This window comes from Homo sapiens, chromosome 1 (genome assembly GCF_000001405.40).
Source record: "Homo sapiens chromosome 1, GRCh38.p14 Primary Assembly".
Taxonomy (NCBI): Eukaryota; Metazoa; Chordata; class Mammalia; order Primates; family Hominidae; genus Homo; species Homo sapiens.
In genome coordinates, this window is record NC_000001.11 from 111,373,491 (window position 1) to 111,393,651 (window position 20,161).

Below are 20,161 nucleotides of genomic sequence, written 5' to 3' on the forward strand. Positions count from 1 at the left end.
TGGATCATACCAAGGCCACCAAAGCAGGACCTCTACAAGTCTGTAAGAGTCACATAGTTTACTGGGTTGGGGTTGCCCCCTAATGCAGACACAGTTGCAGTGACCAAAGACTTAGATCACAACACCCAAGTCCTTTCATTTTTTTGGTTTGTTTTTGTTTTTGTTTGTTTGGGTTTTTTTGTTTCTTTTTTGTTGTTGTTGTTTGTGTTTTTGAGACAGAGTCTCACTCTGTCACCCAGGCTGGAGTGTAATGGCGAAATCTCGGCTCACTGCAACCTCCGCCTCCTGGGTTCAAGCGATTCTCCTGCCTCAACCTCTCAAGTAGCTGGGATTATGGGCATATGCCACCGTGCCTGACTAATTTTGTCTCTTTGGGTTTTTTTTAGTAGAGACGGGGTTTCACCATGTTGGTCAGGCTGTTTTCGAACTCCTGACCTCTGGCGATACTACTGCCTTGGCCTCCCAAAGTGCTGGGATTATAGGCATGAGCCACCACGCCCAGCCCAAGTCCCTTCAAGTACCAGGAAAGTCTTCTTAAGAAGGATGTACAAACAAGTTCAGACTGCGAAGACTACAACAAATACCTAACTCTTTAATACCCAGACATCAACCAACATTCACAAGTATCAAGACCATCCAGGAAAACATGACCTCACCAAGCAAACTAAATAAGGCACCAATGATGAATCCCAGAGTAACAGAGATATGTGACCTTTCAAACAGAATTCGAAATAGCTATTTTGAGACAACAAAAAAAATCAAGACAACACAGAGAGGGAACTCAGAATCCTATCAGATAAACTTAACAAAGAGATTGAAATAATTTTAAAAAATCAAGCAGAAATTCTAGAGCTAAAAAGTTCAATTGACATACTGGAGAAAGCATCAGATTCTCTCAACAGAAGAATTGATCAAGATGAAGAAAGAATTAGTGAGCTCAAAGACAGGCTATTTGAAAATACACAGCCAGAGGAGACAAAAGAAAAAAGAACAAAAAAGAATGAAGTTAGCCTTAAAAAGGAGGTAGAGAGAAATAGGGGCAGAAGGTTTATTCAAAGGGATAATAACAGAAAATGTCTCAAACCTAGAGAAAGATATTAATATCCAAGTGCAAGAAGGTTATAGAACACAAGCAGATTTAACTCCAGGAAGACTACCTCAAGGCATTTAATAAGCAAACTCCCAGAGGTCAAAGGTAAGAAAAGATTCTAAAATCAGCAAGAGAAAAGAAACAAATAATATTCAAAGGTGCTCCAGTACATCTGGCAGCAGACTTCTGAGTGGAAACCTTAAAGGCCAGCATTGGATAGATCATCTAGACAGAAAATCAACAAACACTGGACTTAATATGCGCTATAGACCAAATAGACCTAATAGATATGTACAGAATATTTTATCCAATGGCTGCAGAATACACATTCTTCTCCTCAGCACATGGATCATACTCAAGGATAGATAATCTATTAAGTGCTGAAGGAAAAAACTTTTATACTAGAATAGTATATCCATCTGACAAGGAATTAATAACCAGAATATATAATATGTTTCATTTGTTTCAAGAAACAAATGAAAATGTAAACACAACATACCAAAACCTATGGGATACAGTTAAAGCAGTACTAACAGGAAAGTCTATAGCATTGAATGCCTACCTCAAAAAAGTAGAAAAAAATTAAAAAAAAACATAATGATGCATCTTAAAGAACTAGAAAAGCAAGAGCAAATGAAACCCAATATTAGTAGAAGAAAAGAAATAATAAAGATCAAAGAAGAAATAAACAAAATTGAAAGGGAAAAACATACAAATATCAATGAAACAAAAATTGGTTTTGTGAAAATATAAACAAAATTGACAAACCTTTAGCCAGACTAAAAAATAGAGAGAAGACCCAAATAAATAAAATCAGAGACGATAAAGGAGACATTACAATTCATACTTCAAAAATCCAAAAGATCATTAGTGGCTACAATAAGCAACTATATGCCAATAAATTATAAAATCTAGAAGAAATAGACAGATTCGTAGATACATACAACCTACCAAGATTGAACTGTGAAGAAATCCAAAACCTGAACAGACCGATAACAAGTAACAGGATCAAAGCTGTAATAAAAAGTCTCTCAGCAAAGAAAAGCCTGGGACCCAAAGGCTTCACTGCTGAATTCTACCAAACATTGAAAGAACTAATACCAATCCTACTCAAACTATTCTGAAAAATAGAGGAGGAGAGAATACTTCCAAACTCATTCTACAAGGTCAGTATTATCCTGATACCAAAACCAGACAAAAACATATATATAAAAAGAAAACTACAGGCCAATATCCCCAATGAATATTGATGCAAATGTCCTCAACAAAATACTGGCAAACTGAATTCAACAACACATTAAAAATTCATTCATAGTGACCACCTGGGATTTATCCCAGGGATGCAAGAATGGCTCAATCAGTGTGATACATCATATCAACAGAATGAAGGACAAAAATCATGTGATCATTTCAACTGATGTTGAAAAAGCATTTGTTGAAATTCAACGTCCCTTCATTATAAAAACCCTAAAAAAACTGGGGATAGAAAGAACACATTTCAACATAATAAAAGCCATACATGACAGACCCAGAGCTAGTATCATACAGAATGGGGAAAAACTGAAAGGCTTTCCTCTGATATCTGGTATAAGACAGATATGCCCACTTTTACCACTGTTACTCTACATAGTACTGGAAGTCCTAGCTAGAGCAATCAGACAAGAGAAAGAAAGTGCATCCAAATTGGAAAGAAAAATGTCAAATTATCCTTGTTTGCAGATGATACAATCTTATATTTGGAAAAACCCAAATACTCCACACACAAAGACTATTAGAACTGTAAACAAATTCAGTAAAGTTGCAGGATACAAAATCAGTGTACAAAAATTAGTAGTATTTCTATATGCCAACAGTGAACAATCTGGAAAAGAAATCAAAGAAGTAATCCCATTTACAATAGCCACAAATAAAATTAAATACCTAGGAATTAACTAAACTGAAGAAGTGAAAGATCTATTCAATGAAAACTATAAAACCCTGATGAAAGAAACTGAAGAGAACACCAAAAAATAGAAAGATATTCCATGTCATCCATGAATTGGAAGAATCAATATTGTTAAAATGTCCATAGTTCTCAAACAATCTATAGATTCAATGCAATCTCTATCAAATTACCAACGACATGCTTCACAGAAATTTTGTAAAAATTTCAAAATGTATATAGAACCACAAAAGACCCAAAATAGCCAAAGCTATCCTAAGGAAAAAGAACAAAAATGGAAAAACCACATTACCTGTCTTCAAATTATACAACAGAGCTATTGTAACCAAAACAGCATGGTACTGGCGTAAAAACAGACACATAGAACAGTGGAACAGAATAGAGAACCCAGAAATAAATCATACATCTACAGTGAACTCATTTTTGACAAAGATGCTGGGAAAACTAGATTGCCTATATGCAGAAGAATGAAACAAGATACCTATCTCTCACCGTATACAAAAATCAAATCAAAATAGATTAAAGACTTAAATCCAAAACCTCAAACTATGAAACTACTAAAAGAAAACATTGGGGAAACTCTACTGGACATTGGACTGGGCAGAGACTTCTTGAGCAATAACCCACAAGCACAGGCAACCAAAGCAAAAATGAACAAATGGGATTACATCAAGTTAAAAAGCTTCTGCACAGCAAAGGAAACAACAAAGTGAAGACACTACCCACAAAATGGGAGAAATATTTGCAAACCACCCATCTGACAAGGAATTAATAACCAGAATATATAAGGAGGTCAAACAATTCTATAGGAAAAACCTAATAATCTGATTAAAAATGGGCAAAAGATCTGAACAGACATCTCTCAAAAGAAGACACACAACTAGCAAATAGGTATGGAAAGGTGTTCACATCATTAATCATCAGAGAAATGTAAATTAAAACTACAATGAGATATCATCTCACCCTAATTAAAAAATGGCTTTTATTTAAAAAAATAGGCAATAACAAATGCCAGCAAGGATGTGGAGAAAAGAGAACCCTTATACACTATTGGCGGGGATGTAAATTAGTACAATCACTATGGAGAACAGTTTGGAGGTTCCTCAAAAAACTAAAAATAGAGCTACCATATGATCCAGGAATCCCACTTCTAGGTATATACCTAAAAGAAAGGAAATCAGCATATCAAAAGCATATCTGCACTCTCATGTTTATTGCAGCACTATTCACAATAGCCAAGATGTGGAAGCAACTTAAGTGTCCATTCACAGACAAATGGATAAAGAAAACGTGGTGCATATACACAATGGACTACTATTCATCCATAAAAAATCAATGAGATCCCATCATTTGCAACAAAATGAAGGAAACTGGCAGTCATTATGTTAAGTGAAATAATCCAGGCACAGAAAGACAAACATTGCATGTTCTCACTTATTTGTGGGAGCTAAAGATTAAAACAACTGGACTCATGGAGATAGAGTAATAGAAGGATGGTTACCAGAGGCTGGGAAGGGTAGTCAGGAGGGAGGGAAAAGAAGGATTATTAATGAGTTAAAAAAAAAAATAGGTAGAAAGAATAAATAAGATCTAATATTTGCTAGCACAACAGGGTGACTATATTTTTAAAAATTCAGTTGCTCATTTTAAAATAACTAAAAGAGTATAATTGGATTGTTTGAAACACAAAGGATAAATTCATGAGGTGATGGATACCTGATTTACCCTGATGTGATTTTTATGCATAGCATGCCTGTATCAAAATATCTCATGTAGCCCATAAATATATACACCTACTATATACCCACAAAAATTAAAAATTAAAATATTTTAACAAGCACATTACACCTGCACAAATAGCAATTAAATAGGAATTCCAATGCTTATTTACATCTCTTAAAGAATATTTAAAGGGGTCTACTATGTAAGCATTGGCAACATTTTTCAAAATTGCCATTCTACATTCTCCTCCAGAGATGTTGGGCTGGGACATTTCCCCCAATAAAGCCCAAATCCCTGTCTTCACATCCACCCTTCATAGTTTCTATGCCTTTTCACGTCCCTGTTATTTTCCAGCTCTTTCTGTCTAATTCTCTCATCTTTCCTTCTACTTCTGCAGACCTTCCCCTCTCTCTCAACCCAGTCCACAAATTTTTTTCATGTTTTTAAAGTTGTCTTTTTTGTGTTGGAAACTGAAACTGTCATTAGCTATCCATGTGTTTTCTTTCTCTTTTTGTTTTTTATTTTTATTGTTTTTATTTTTATAGATTTAGGGATACAGATGGAGGTGTGTTACCTCCGTGTAATGGTGAAGTATGGGCTTTTAGTGTACCCATCGCCTGAATAGTGCATATTGCACCCAATAGGCAGTATTTCATCCATCATCCCTCTTCCACCCTCCCACCTTTTGTAGTCTCCATTGTCTACAATTCCACTCCATATGTTTAGCTCCTTTTTACAAGGGAGAACATTTGGTGTTTGACTTTCTGTTTCTGAGTCATTTCACTTGTGATAATAGCCTCTGATAAGGACTACAGTGTCCTTAATGTCTATGCTGCAATTCCATACTCAGGCAGAGACTGCCTCCTTATTTTTCTCTCCCATTGATTCCATCCATGTTGCTGCAAAAAACATTTCATTCTTTTTTTGGCTGTGTGGTGTTACATGAAATGTGTATACCACATTTTTTAATCCAATCATCTGTTGATGAACACTCAGGTTGATTCCATGACTTTGCTGTTGTGAATTGTACTGCAATAAACATGTGAATGCAGGTGTCCTTTTGATATAATGATTTCTTTTCCTCTGGGTAGGTACCTGGGAGTGGGATTACTGGATCAAAGGGTAGTTCTATTTTCAGTTATTTCAGAAATCTCCTATTGTTTTCTATAGTGGTTGTACTAATTTACTTTCCCACCAACAGTGTATAAGTGTTCCCTTTTCTCCATATTCTCACCAATATCTGTTGGTTTTTGGCAGTCCCCCAATTCTCTTTCACAAAAATATAGGAATTGGACAGCCAAGGTCTTTATTTAGTACAATGAAGACAGAAGGGTGTTAAAGGAAAGTGGGGAACACTCACATATTAATAAGTCTTGTCCCCACCCCACAAACGATAAGCAAAGTGGAACAGACCTTAAGCTATGGGGGAGCTTTTGTTGGTTGTTATTCTCTTTCTTTTTTTCTTTTTCTTTTTTTTCTTTTTTTTTGACGGAGTCTTGCTCTGTTGTGGCTGGAGTGCAGTGGCACGATCTCGGCTCACTACAACCTCCACCTCCCGGGTTCACGCCATTCTCCTGCCTCAGCCTCCCGAGTAGCTGGGACTACAGGCGCCCGCCACCACGCCTGGCTAATTTTTTGTAGTTTTAGTAGAGACAGGGTTTCACTGTGTTAGCCAGGATGGTCTCGATCTCCTGACCTTGTGATCCACCCGCCTCGGCCTCCCAGAGTGCTGGGATTACAGGCGTGAGACACCGCGCCTGGCCGTTGGTTGTTATTTTCTAGAAAACGGGAGCAGATAGAATTTTCTAACTCTGGCTTTGCAAATACTGTAATTGTTCTAGCAGACTGGTACCTGCTGAAAAACCTCAGATGACTTGTAGTAACTTGAATTTGATTATCTCTCAGTAACTGTGTTGAGAACTTTCTGGAAATTATATCTCTAGGGGTGGGGAGAAGCCGGGAGGACTGGGTGCGCGTGCAGGGATCAGAAGCCGGTTGGTGGGTGAAAGGTTTTCTCGCTCTAGGGAGATTCTTCAAGCAATCACTATGTCAACAGACACAGGTGTTTCCCTTCCTTCACATGAGGAAGATCAGGGATCCAAACTTACTCGAAAAACTAAAGAGGCACCATTCGTACCTGTTGGAGCAGCAGGTTTTGCAGCAATTGTTGCATATGGATTATACAAACTGAAGAGCAAGGGAAATACTAAAATGTCCATTCATCTGATCCACATGCATATGGCAACCCAAGGCTTTGTTGTAGGAGCAATGACTGTTGGTATGGGCTACTTCATGTATCGGGAATTCTAGGCAAAACCTAAGCCTTAGAAGAAGAGATGCTGTCTTAGTCTTGTTGGAGGAGCTTGCTTTAGTTAGACGTCTCATTATTGAAGTTACCTATTATTGCTGGAAATAAACTAATTTGTATGGGTTTAGATGGTAACATGGCATTTTGAATATTGGCTTCCTTTCTTGCAGGCTTGATTTGCCTGGTGACCGAATTACTAGTGACTAGTTTACTAACTAGGTCATTCAAGGAAGTCAAGTTAACTTAAACATGTCACCTAAATGCACTTGATGGTGTTGAAATGTCCACCTTCTTAAATTTTTAAGATGAACTTAGTTCTAAAGAAGATAACAGACCAATCCTGAAGGTACTCCCAGTTTGCTGCAGAATCTCACATATTTTGGATGTTGTATAAGAGTCCTATTTGCCCCAGTTAATTCAACTTTTGTCTGCCTGTTCTGTGGACTGGCTGGCTCTGTTAGAACTCTGTCCAAAAAGTGCATGGAATATAACTTGTAAAGCTTCCCACAATTGACAATATATGTGCATGTGTTTAAGCCAAATCCAGAAAGCTTAAACAATAGAGCTGCATAATAGTAGTATTTATTAAAAAATCACAACTGTAAACATGAGAATAAAGGATTCTAGTTTAGTTTTTTGTAATTGCAAATTATATTTTTGCTGCTGATATATTAGAATAATTTTTAAATGTCATCTTGAAACAGAAATATGTATTTTAAGCACTCATGCAAAGGTAAATGAACACTTTTTAAATGTGTGTGTTGCTTATTTTTTCAATAAGAATTGTAAACATTGAACTGAACAAATTACCTATAACGGATTTGATAAAAGACTTATGAGCAAGCTGGTTTGGCAGACAGTATACCCAAACTTTTATATAATATACAGAAAGCTATTACACTTGTGAACTTCTCTTGTCTAATCTGAATTTACATTCCATGGTGATAACATGGTATATGTATTGTTATTAAAGTAAGTGACCCATGTCAAAAAAAAAAAAAAAAGAAATTATATCTCTAACTCAAGATCTTTGCTCTCAATGCTTGAGGTCAAAAGTCAGAGCATAAACAGAGGTGATGCTGAGGCAAGAACAGTGACTGACAGGGCGGGGGAGGAGGATGGAGGTGCATTGGGGCTGACCTGCATCGCCCTTCCCTTTGATGAAAAGAATCTATTTCTTCCATAAGATAAACACAACACTGAAGAAAAAAGAAATGACCCAATGCAGACATTACTTAGTTCAATAAGACCAGCTCTATTACATGTCAGTAGAGAGGACCAATAAAACTATGTAAGAAAATGGACACTGACATTCAACACTGTTGCCCCCTACCCCATACATGGGTGAGTTGAGAATGTTTTGCATGTTTTTATCCAGATACATTTTTCTAATTATACTGGAATTAATGTGATATCTCCACTATTGAAACCTTTTTGAGATCCCAAGGCAATGACAGTTTTTAATTCCCTGAGGCAACCTTCTAAATTAGACGACCTCACTTCAAATGATTTTTGGTTACTGACTGTGTAATGCAAATTTAACCACTGAGCTCACTTCAAACAGGGAAATGCTCAAAAGTAAGGTATTCCAGATTAAAAATTCCTAAGGATCAAAACCATGCCTCATTTATATTTTCCATGTCCCCATGGCATAGTGGACTTTATTACATAGAAATATAACTTTAAAAAATTATTACATTGAATCTGAATCTGACTTGAACACCAACTGTATGATCACCTCTCCATGCCTCAGGCTCCTTCCAATGTAAAATAAAACTGGGGATTTTAAACTCAAATGCTTTCAGATTCAGGCAGGCAAAGTGAACATGTGAGGTAGCCCGAGTACCAGTAGGGAGTAATGAGGACTATGATAATGACCATTAATCTGCAAATTCATTAAAATTGTGCTGCTGCCCTCAAAAAAAAATGTTCTCTGATTATATTTGGCCTGCAAAACACCTGTTTGAAATGCTCTCTAAGGTTGTTGCTTCCCTCATCCCTTATATTGTTCTTGAGTCAGCCATTGCTCTGGTACACGTTCTTTCTAAGGATAGTCAAAAACAATATTGGGGGAGAGAGAGGTAGGTGGGTGATAACCTCCAACCAGAGCTTCCCAAGGAGATATCACTGTGTCCTTAATGCCTATGCTGGAGTTCCATACTCAGGCAGAGATTACCTCCTTATTTTTCTCTCCCATCGATTAACTAACTGATCCCCTGTAGTAACTGTTGCTAAGTTTCAACTTAGAATAAGCCACAAAAAGCAGAACACACCAAAAAAGACATCTGGGAATGAACATTAAAGGTGTTTGGAGTTTTCCAATTTATTAGTTGCAGAAAGTAAGACTCTAGTGAGCAGAGGGAGTCAGGATCATTAAAAATGCTGCCATGGACCCACAGAAACATCAGAACAATCCCAGAGTCCTGCAGAGAGGGGTAGAGACAGCAGTCGCTGGCTAGTCTAGGCAGAGAAGGCAAAGCCCACCCTGTTGTTGGCCATGTCATAGACAGAGCAATATTCCTTGAGGAAGACATCCCCCAGAATCCAGAGGGGCTGCCCACTGCGGGAGGGCAGGCAGGTGGCCTCAGTTCCAAGCCTGCAGTAGCCATTGTTCTGAAGAGACAAAGGACATGAAGACATAACTAGCTGTACTGTAGAGACCTTTCCCCACAGGGACTCCCCACCTTATATTACGTGACACCTGTAGGGGGCCCCGAATTCTTGTTCAGTCTCAGCCTGGTCCCTGGTGCCCCGCTCACATCATAGGTGCCCAGATGTGAGCTGGGACACGGAACACCTGTTTGGGCCCACCAAATCCCAGTACCCTGGAAGCCAGGAGTGAATATGTACATTGAAGACATATTCAGAGGGAGGCAGAGGAAACTGGGCCCCGCCGATGATGAAGGTGATGGTGGGCATGCTCTGTATGTAGCTGCAGTTGACCACAAACTGAGAGGGGGAAGAGGCAAAGCTGAGGCACTCCAGGGGACTAGAAGCCCAGGTAAAAGGCCCAAGGCCCACTTTGTTCCCGTGAGTTCCCTGTAAGACTTTCCCCTCCACCTTCCAGTAAAGGCTGTTTCAGAGCATGGAAGGCCTGGCCTTCCCAGGAATAACTCTGACCAGGCCCTCTTGCTTTCTTGAGTCCTCTCCTTAAATACATCTCAGCTTTTGGATTTTGGTTGTATTGATATGGTCATAAAGAAGGAGGCTTATTCTAGAACAGAGTCTCTAGCCTTGGAAAGTGAAAATTACAGAGAAAAGACATGGGGCACACACTTGTGGAAGCATACTCTCCCACACACTCATATCCACATTTGTGTGCACACGTCCATGTACTCACCATAGCATGTGCACGCATGTATGCATGCACGTGTACAGATGTGCACACACACACACAACCTGAGAAATCAAGATTTAGTCTGGGAATAGATTCTTGCATGCAAGGAGAAGCAAACAACAGATATGAGTACAAAGCGGGCAGGTGTGGGGAGAGGAGGCTACTCAGAGTGAAATCCAAAGATGTATTCCTATGGGAGAAAGAAACCAAAAGGAATGGAAAAATGTGTTGACTCTAATATTTCAGAGCAGTCAAGTGATAGTGGCCAGAAAGCTGAAATTTGCCCCTAGGACATACTGTGGATTCACAGCACCTCCTGACAACCATTCACCCCATACTCAACCAGTCTGAGTAGAGATGGTGTTACTCCCTCCCCTTCCCCTTCCTTGCATTGAAGGTTCATGACAGAAATGCCATGCTGTGTCCCCACCCATCTTTCCGGCCAAAGCCTCAGGTCCCATCCAACCCTTCCTCCTCTCTGTTGTGAACTCCTTGCACTCAGGCACCTGTGGTGAGTCTGCCTGGGTGTGCAGAAAACCTCTTGGCTTCTGGTACTCACGTCACCATTCTGAGCCTGCTGGGGTCCTGTTGCCTGCAGGAAGGAGGCATGTACTGCTGAGGAACTGCCAGCAGGAAGGTCTCGGTATCCACAATGGCCTGGCAACCCTCAGAGCACAAGCCAGTGGCCTGGTTACCGATGGCAAATCTGAGGGGGACACCAGGACAAAGGGAATCAAGTGCCTCTACTGAAAACATGAGCCATGTCATCCCTTGTCCTCCAACCCAGCAGCTCTGATGTTCTTCTTCTTCCAGGCAGCCAAGCCACTCCTATTACACATCTGCCCATGAAATGCTTCTGTCCATTTGTCATTATTGGAGTCGTATCCTCAGTCTTGATTTGGTGCTCACTCCAGCTCTGACTGAAAGCTCTAGGAAGACAGAGCCTGTGTCTTATCTTCTTTCATCTACCTATATGGGGTCCAGCACATAGTGCCAAACACAGTCAGGGCTTGTAATCAGTAAATAGCTGCATTTTGAGCACCTACTATGTGGAAGACACTCTTTCAGGATTTATGGTGATACAAGGAGTGGGTAATTAGTGCTTACTGCTTTAAGGAGCTTATTCTAATAGAGATGGAACAACACAATTAATCAAGCCATGACTAACACTGTAAGGCAGTAGCTGATAAACCCCGTAATGTGGTACATAGACTCTTACATGATGCAGTCTCTGATTCCTTGTCTTGCTTTTTTCTACTGCTCTACCCTTCCTCTTCATCCCATATAGATGTGTTGAGATCTGTCTATGAGCCAGGTATCATGCAAGGCACTCGGAGATACAATGGTAAACAAGACATACACCACAGTCTAGTGGAGAGCCCAGACATTTAACAAAAACACACAAATGATGTCTCATTGCAGCCCTGATAGGTGCACATTACAATGTGCCAGAGAAAAGGGGACTTGATCTTTCTTGGGAAGCCAGAACAAGGATTTTTCTGAGGAAGTGATAAAGGATGAGTAGAATTGGGCTATATGAAAAGCCACCTCCATTCCATGCACAAATAATCTGCCAAGCTCTTACCTCTTTCTGCTCTTGTAGGTTGGGCTGTTTCTCCAGTGCCTTACCCAGTGACTAGGACATGTTAATTGTGACAGCAGCACAGGTAAGCATTATAGGATCAAAAGAGAAAGAAATCACTGTGCTCTGGGCCCCTGGGAGGATTTTTAGGAGAAGATACTAATTAATCTGGGCTTTGAGGAATGCCTACAAGTCAAGTAAGCACTCCAGGTGGCATGATTAAAAGAACAAAAGCAAGAAAATCATGGCCAGGTGCAAGGACTTGTTGAAGTCTGTGCTTAATATCTGGAAGCACTGAGAAGCTATATTGATAGGTGGAGCCGAGATTCTGTATGGTCTTAAATACAGATCAAAGGAGTTTTGTCTTTAACTGGCATGTGATAGAGAATTCTCAGGTGTAAAAATAACTGATTTGAGCACAAGCTTAACTGATCCCAACGCGGATCAAATAAGCTTGTGCTCAAATTTTGGCTTTATAAAATGTGACTTTGGACAAGTTACTTAGCCCTCTGAGCCTTGACTTCTTTATCGATAGAATGAAACGTATTGCTGACCTCCTTATAGTGCTCTTGTGGAAATTATATGCAATAATATATTTAAAGTACTTAGGCCGGGCACGGTGGCTCACACCTGTAATCCCAGTACTTTGGGAGGCCAGGGTGGGTGGATCATTTGAGGTCAGGAGTTTGAGACCAGCCTGGCCAACATGGTGAAAGCCTGTCTCTACTAAAAGTACAAAAAATTAGCTGGGTGTAGGGGTGGGCGCCTGTAATCCCAGCTACTCGGGAGGCTGAGGAAGGGGAATCGTTTGAACCCTGGAGGCAGAGGTTGCAATGAGCCGAAATCACATTACTGCACTCCAGCCTGGGCAACAGAGTGAGACCCTGTCTCAAATAAATAAATAAATCAAATACTTAGCATAGCACCTGGCACATATCAAACATCAATGACAGCTATTACTTTCACTAATGATAGAAGTAGTAAAGATTATGCTGATGGAAATCATCAAGCTTCCAAGAATAGGAACAGATTCACAGTGCCTAGGAATGGCCAACCTGCCAGCATGCTGAGACTCAGTACCCAGTTCAAAAAGTTCAGACCAGAGCTAGACACCAGAGTCTACTGAGCTCCAGGACCACCTCAGCCTGGAGGCTGGTGATTCTATTTAAGAAACCTGTGTGATGTGGAGGAACAGGAAATGTTGTTAAGCTGGAGGAACACCCTGCGAGTGTCCACAATCCACAGGAATTGCCCTCTCTACTTACTCCTCGATGGCAATCTGCCAGTACAGTTACGGGCTGACAGGGGTCCAGATGATCTGACCAGAATAAAGTTGGGGTCCACACCTCCAAGGATGAGCTCTCCACAATACTGGCGGGTTGGCTGGCTAGGAAGAGATGTACAAGAACGTGAGTGCCCACACACAGTCGGTGAGGCAGTTCTCTCTCCTCTCTCCTTCCTGCACTCCCTCAGACACAGGGGTGCTGCAGACGAGGGGACGCTGTCCTCTGAGTTGCTCTCAGACTCAGCCTGCTGAGGCACAGGAGGAGACTTCTCAGAGTAACACCAAACTACTAGACACGATGCCCATAAAGAAGACGGAAGTGGAAACCAGGCACCCAAAAACAAACTAGAAAAGCATCCCAGAGAAACCCTCCCTGGGAGGAAGTGAGAACAATAGGAAACCGTTTTAGGGACAACTAGAACGGGGCCTGAGAGAGCCCGCGAGGCGCTCTGAGAGGCATGCTCCCATCATGGTCAGGTCATTAACTAGACAATACTGGAAGGACTTTGGCCTTTTGTGCTTCTTATGCTGGCCAGTCGTAGAAGAAAGACATGTGAACTTTAGGTACTTTGAGGATCATGTGTTTGGGAAAGAAGGAACAAGGGATAAAGTTTGGCACAAAAGTACAGTGCCAAGTGGAGCAAGAAAAGTACTGGATTTGTGATCAAGATATTTGAGTTTGAGTCTTGGCTTCACACTTACTGTGAGTGACCTTGATCAATTCTGACAAGCTGTTTGAGCCTCCATTTGCTCCCTGGCAAGATGGGGCTAATATGAGGATTTTTGAGATGTCATTTGAAGTAATTGCTAGGAGAACACTTTATAAAGCCAGACATAGTATTATGATTATTCCTCCATTATAGTTCTCTTTACTAGTAATGCTCATGTGGCTTGTTCTTTAGTGCTAATACAGCAGTCTCCAGATTTCCTAAATAAACACTGAGGGACTGTTACTCAATTTTATGAAAGGTCATCTTGTGGCTTACAGCTAATATAATTTAAAATTCTTTTTTTTTTTTTTTTTGAGATGGAGTCTCACTCTGTCGCCCAGCCTGGAGTGCAGTGGCGTGATCTCGGCTCACTGCAAGCTCCGCCTCCCAGGTTCACGCCATTCTCCTGCCTCACCCTCCCGAGTATCAGGGACTACAGGTGCCCACTACCAAGACCGGCTAATTTTTTTGTATTTTTAGTAGAGATGGGGTTTCACCATGTTAGCCAGGGTGGTCTCAATCTCCTGACTTCGTGATCCGCCTGCCTCGGCCTCCCAAAGTGCTGGGATTACAGGTGTGAGCCACCACGCCTGGCCTAATTTAAAATTGTTAAAGTGTATTTAAAATAAGATTTTTCCCAAATTTTCTGAAATACATGAATTTTGTATAGCAAGTTATACTCATTGTGTCAGAACACCTTATAACCTGGACCCCATCTGATCTTGGGTTGCCTAGAATCCCCAGGGACCCTCATTTTCTGAGCCCTTCACAGGACGAAGGTTCTCACCAGGTGAAGTAGAAGCTGAAGACGGGCTGAGTAAGCTGGCTCTGCTGCAGCATCCCCTGCATTACTGTAGGGGAATTCCCCTCTGCCATGTTTGGGTAGGCCATTCCCAGGATCCCGTCAAAGTCTGAATAGTAAAAGGGGTCGCTGGGCTCATTCTCACTCAGGCCAAACTCCTGGTTATTGACAACGATGTTATGAACCTATGGCAAGCAGACAGTATGGCTTGACAATTCAGGTGCACAAATTGCATGGCTTCCCAGACTAATGTGCACAGGGTATGGAATCCAGAAACCCTCCTGGGGAGAGAACATCAGCTTCTTTCATGCAGAACCCAACCACAAGGGTGGGAGTGGAGGGTGAAAGAGCAACCTTTCTCATCAGGTGTGTCTCGGAAAAAAGAGTGTGGATGTTGGAGAAGTGGAAGAAGTTTTTTTCTGGAGTTATAGTTTCCACTTCCATGGACAGTGAAAGAATTGAATGGTTTCATACTGAACAATCTATGTGCAAGAATGATTAGAGGAATTGTAGGTGTTTGAACTAAAGAAATAAGAAAATAGTAAAAAGGCTTGTCTTCAAATATGCGAAGTGCAACTGGGTGGAAGAGGCAATAGACTTATCTGTGTGTTTCCAGAGGGCAGAGTTAGGACCACACAGCAAAGCTGCAAGAAGACACAACAACTTTAGCACAACATAAAGGCTTCCTGCAGTCAGGACTGCTGTGGAAGCGATTTACGTCCTGGGATGAAGGCTGAATTAGTCTTTGTGTTCCTTCCAACACTCAGCTTCTGGGAAGCTTGGACCTAATTAGTAAGCATGGGTTTCTCTAATAGTGTAAGACTCTAGAAAATGGGAGCCAAACCACAGACCCTCAGAGGCTATGAAAACATTACTTACAGTCACAGTGTCATAGCCCAGGAACACACTCAGGCTGCCACTCCCATAGGATAGTCCATAGGTTTGTCCATCGTTTCTGAAGGTGGAGGACAGGCTGGGATTGAACCTGTTGTGATTGGCTATAGAAAGACAGAATGGAATATTCATTTCATTTGCAGTTTTCCAAAACACGTGAAGGCTACTTATCCTTGATGGATTGGGCTCATCAGACCAAGGCTGGGATAGGGCATCACCCTAGATCTTTTCTTGTAGACAAACTGTGCTAGTCCTAGAAAAGTCTATGACACACTTTGCCCAAATTCCTTCCAGCTGACCATTCCCTGAGAGAAAGATTGCCTCAGACTTACCAGAAACACTGGGCCACAGAAGGGCGCTCAGGGGAAGGAAAGGAAGCCTTAGTCTGTTTCTGCTGTCTGTCTCCAAAAAAGTCAGCACTTCTGAAAAGTGGTGCTGAAGTGACAGACTGAGAGCAATTTCTCAATGTTCCAAACAGAAGGAGGATACGTGATGGACAAAGAACTCTGGACTTAGAATGATTCACCTGCACTCAAATCCCAGCTCCACTCCTCTATCTGCTCCCCTCATGGTGTGGAGGGTGGTAGTGACATACTCACAGCAGACTTGGCTCTGGCAGTAGATGGAGGGCAGCTACAGATTGGAGGAACCCGTATCAAAGAGGACTAGGAAATTTTGGGGTGGTGTCCCAGTGCTGATCTCCCCAAAGTAGAAAGACTGCAAAAGAAAGGTTTATCACCTTCATTAAGTAACCAAGCCTTGTCTTAAGAACGGACAAGCAGTTAACCCACAGGAAGCCACCCTCTGCCCAAATCATTTTCTTGGGGGAATGAGAGGCTTATCCCACAAGTTTTCCTTCCCATCTGGAGTTAGTTCCTTTCAAGATTCTACTTTTTGTCCCTAATTGCAAGCCTTTGGCCAGCTAAGACTTAGTATGGCAAGACAATATCCTCTTCCAAAGTGTTTTCTACTTTTACAATAAGCTGATATCTTCACAGATTTATCATGCTATACTGGAGTACCCAGAATTGGGGAAACAATCACTTTTTCTTTTTTCCTGGTGTCCAGACACACACACACACACACACACACACACACACCACCACCACCACCACCACCATCACACTCTTCTCCCCTTCTCTTTCAATGTTAGATACTTCTACCACCATTTTCCTCCCTTCTGGTCACACACTAGCAGAGGGTGCTAGGCAGCTGGAAAAGAGACAGCATGGAGAGAAAGAAGAGCTCTTCACTGGAAGGTAGTTTAAGCTCTAAGTTAACATGGGCCAGTCATGTCACTTACCTACCTCTAGTTTCTTCACCTATAAAATGTGGGTGTTGAAATAGAAGATCCCTAACGTGGCTTCCAGCTCAGACATGCAACATAACATCTCACTAAGGACAGTCCACAGGACAGCAGAATGTCAAGATGCCCTGATGAGACTTGGTGGGCTTGAGAATATTCAGACATTTGCTCCGGGGACTTTGCATCTTTCCAAAGAGGGAGAGATGCAGTATCTGAGCCACTGGAGCTTTTGCCTGACATCCTCACATGTATTTTCCTTCTTTCCCCTGCAGCTCATTGCCAGGACTTCCTTTGGATCTCTCAGTTGACTTGAACATTCCCACCATGAATCTCTTAATCATGTAAATGAGGCTTTAGCAGGATGGGCCAGCAACGAGAGGAAAGGAGGAAAGAAAAGGAATTACTATACTCTTAGATGGTACCAACTCATAACTTGTTCTGATTCTTTCCATAGAAAGGGTGAGACTTTGGTTTAGTAACTAGTCAAAAATTACAGCTAATGAGCAGTATAAGTGAGTATCTAAGAATGGTGGTTATACAAGGGTTATGGACATTCCCCGCCCCATCACTCACATCCAGGTAGTTGGTGAAGGGCTCATAAGCAACAGCATCATTATTGAAATAATACTTGGCAATTGGATCAGCCTTTGGGTGGTCCCTCAGAAACGTCTCCAGTACACCCTGCTCCTCCATTCTCTGGCGGATAGACTTGCCTTTCCTCAGAATGATCCTGCAGAGAATAGGGTAAACAAACAAAAATAGAAACGGAATGAGTCTTGGCCCCATGAAAGCAATCTCTTCAATGACCTGACCTGCAGTGTTTAAATCTCTCCAGTACTCTACTCAAGAAAAGCCCTCTATAAGCAATGCTCTCAGATTTTAGCACATTCTAACCACTGCTGTCACTCCAGAATTCCTGGTGTGGAATAGACCATATCATATTTTTGGGGTATTGTGTTTATATATTGTTTCCAGAGAATAAATATCTTATTTCTTTCCAATCTCTTCTATAAGTTTGGGGTAAGGATTGTGCATCCTTCCTTCTTAGCCAACACCCACACCCATAACCCCACCCCCCAAATACTCACACACCATCCATCCATTTCAAGTCTTAGCCCCCAGTGGGTGTTCCTTTCACAGTAAAAGAGTCAACCTGATTGGTGTTCCAGGAGACCTACAGAGGAAGGCCTTTGCCCTTTCCTAGCTTGTCATGCTCCCCGAAGGCTGGAATCCACAATTAGGCCAAATCCCAATACATAACTTTCCACACCTCCTGAGAGATGTAGGCAAGCAAGACCAAGACCAGGATCTTCATGGTGCTGACTTTTAACTCCCCACCAACATGCAGGACATGATGGCAGAGCCAGAGGTTGGGGCACACAGAGGTAGGCTAGATCTCTCTCTCTTATATTTTGATCCCCCTGCACTTTTGGTCTCTAGGTACATGGGCTTTCCTACCTTTGTACCAGCTTGTTTGCCTACAAATCCATAGATTCTGTTTGTTTTTCCCTCTGGCAAGCATCAAGAACTTTCATATTCACTCCATAGTGAATTTAAAAAGCAATTAATGGCTTTACTGGTGGAATCTAAAGATTAGGATTTGATAACAAATGTAAAATGCACTGAGGTCAGAGGACCTTGGTGCCTGTGTCTACTGGGCAATGGGTGTTGGCAACTTCCGCCAGGAAAATGGAACAATTTGCTCTTTAGCTCCTAAGGGCAAGTGCTTTCTTGAGCTTTGCAGTCTACTCTCTGCTTCTTCCTCTCCTTCTCTCTCTTCCTCTTCTCTGTCTCATCTGTAGCCTTCCATATATGATTTTCATAGCCCATGACATTCTTCTTTCTTTATTCTTTCATTTTCTTCATTAGCAAACTAGTCAATTTTTATTGAAGGCTTACTCTGTGTTCACCTCTGTACTAAGCTCTGGAAGTGCAAAGATAATTAGGAAATGATCCTTGTATACAAATGCTTGCATTCCTGCTGGAATAATGGACACATAATCAAATTGTCAGGCAGTGTGACCACTCTGAGCATTCAAATGTTTGTTGAATGAGTGAGAGGGATAACAATAATGTTAAAGCAATCAGAGAGAGGGAGTGGTAGTTTTTTGTGGGATGGAAAAGGCTTCACAGAGGAGGTAACATTTAAGTAAGGATCTTGCAGGATGATAAATGAGGAAGTGAAGAAATTAAAAAAAAAAAGAAAACACCATTGCAAGCAGATGAAAATCTTCAGCAGTGGCACAAAGGGGTGAAGTTTTGTGATGATTCAGAGAACATTGTGGCCAACATAGCCAGAAGAGCAATTCTCAGCACAGTTCATCACCAGCCCAAGACACACTTGCAGGACTTGCCTGCATGTGCCCAATTCTCATCATGCTAATTGTTACTCTGAGTATTATTTTCTAGCCAAGAAACCATTTTAAATGGAAAAGACTGTAATGCTATAATAGGAATACTATTGAGTCTACGATACTAAAGCAGTGCATATTTAATACCTTCAGAATTTTAACTATTATTTTATCAAATTATTTATGGCATGCTTCATAACTGACTACAACCAGAGCACCATGGATAGAATACTGAACTACTGCAAGAGTAGTACATGGATAGTTGCTATATACAGTACAAGGTATCTATATGGGCATGACTTTCATGATCAGAATCTTGTAATGTGAATCCTCTATGCCACACTAAGCAATATTGATTTAATTCTGTAAGCAACAATAAGCCATTAAAGTTTTTTTAATCCAGCAAGCAAAACACTGAATGCCCTTCTGCCTACCATTTATACAGAGCTTTTTACATTGTAGTCTTTCAGAAGTACTGAGTGAAAGAGGTCAGTTACCAAAATAATTCCCTAAGTAAAATTGTAGCTGGCATGAAACTTTGTCATGAATCTACCTTGAAGCTACGCACAACCCCAAAGAAGGTTCAACTTTATATGTATGATTTAATGTTTTTATGTAGAAATATGTTTTTAAAGGGAAACTTAAGAGCCACTGTACACTCATAATGACCATAACTCCCACATGTTGAACACCAACTTTGTAGCAGACACATATTTCATGTAATCATTGCAATATACTTGTGGGGCTAATTTAACTTTCCCAAGACCACCCAGTTAATGAAAGGTAGAACTGTGGTTTCAAGTCCAGTTTGTCTGAACTCCTATCTAAACAT

At 41.0% G+C, this 20,161-nt stretch overlaps 2 pseudogenes across 1 annotated transcript; one reads left to right on the forward strand and one right to left on the reverse strand.

The window, feature by feature from the left end:
• On the forward strand, positions 6,698 to 7,279 carry HIGD1AP12 (HIG1 hypoxia inducible domain family member 1A pseudogene 12; annotated as a pseudogene).
• Positions 7,280 to 11,028: 3,749 nt separating this feature from the next.
• Positions 11,029 to 16,361, reverse strand: PGBP (pepsinogen B, pseudogene; annotated as a pseudogene). The gene is made up of 5 exons (NR_029429.1): positions 16,272 to 16,361; positions 15,658 to 15,776; positions 14,764 to 14,963; positions 13,247 to 13,368; positions 11,029 to 11,105 (listed from the first exon to the last, which is right to left on the reverse strand). The product of NR_029429.1 is annotated as a pepsinogen B, pseudogene (transcript).
• Positions 16,362 to 20,161: the final 3,800 nt, after the last annotated feature.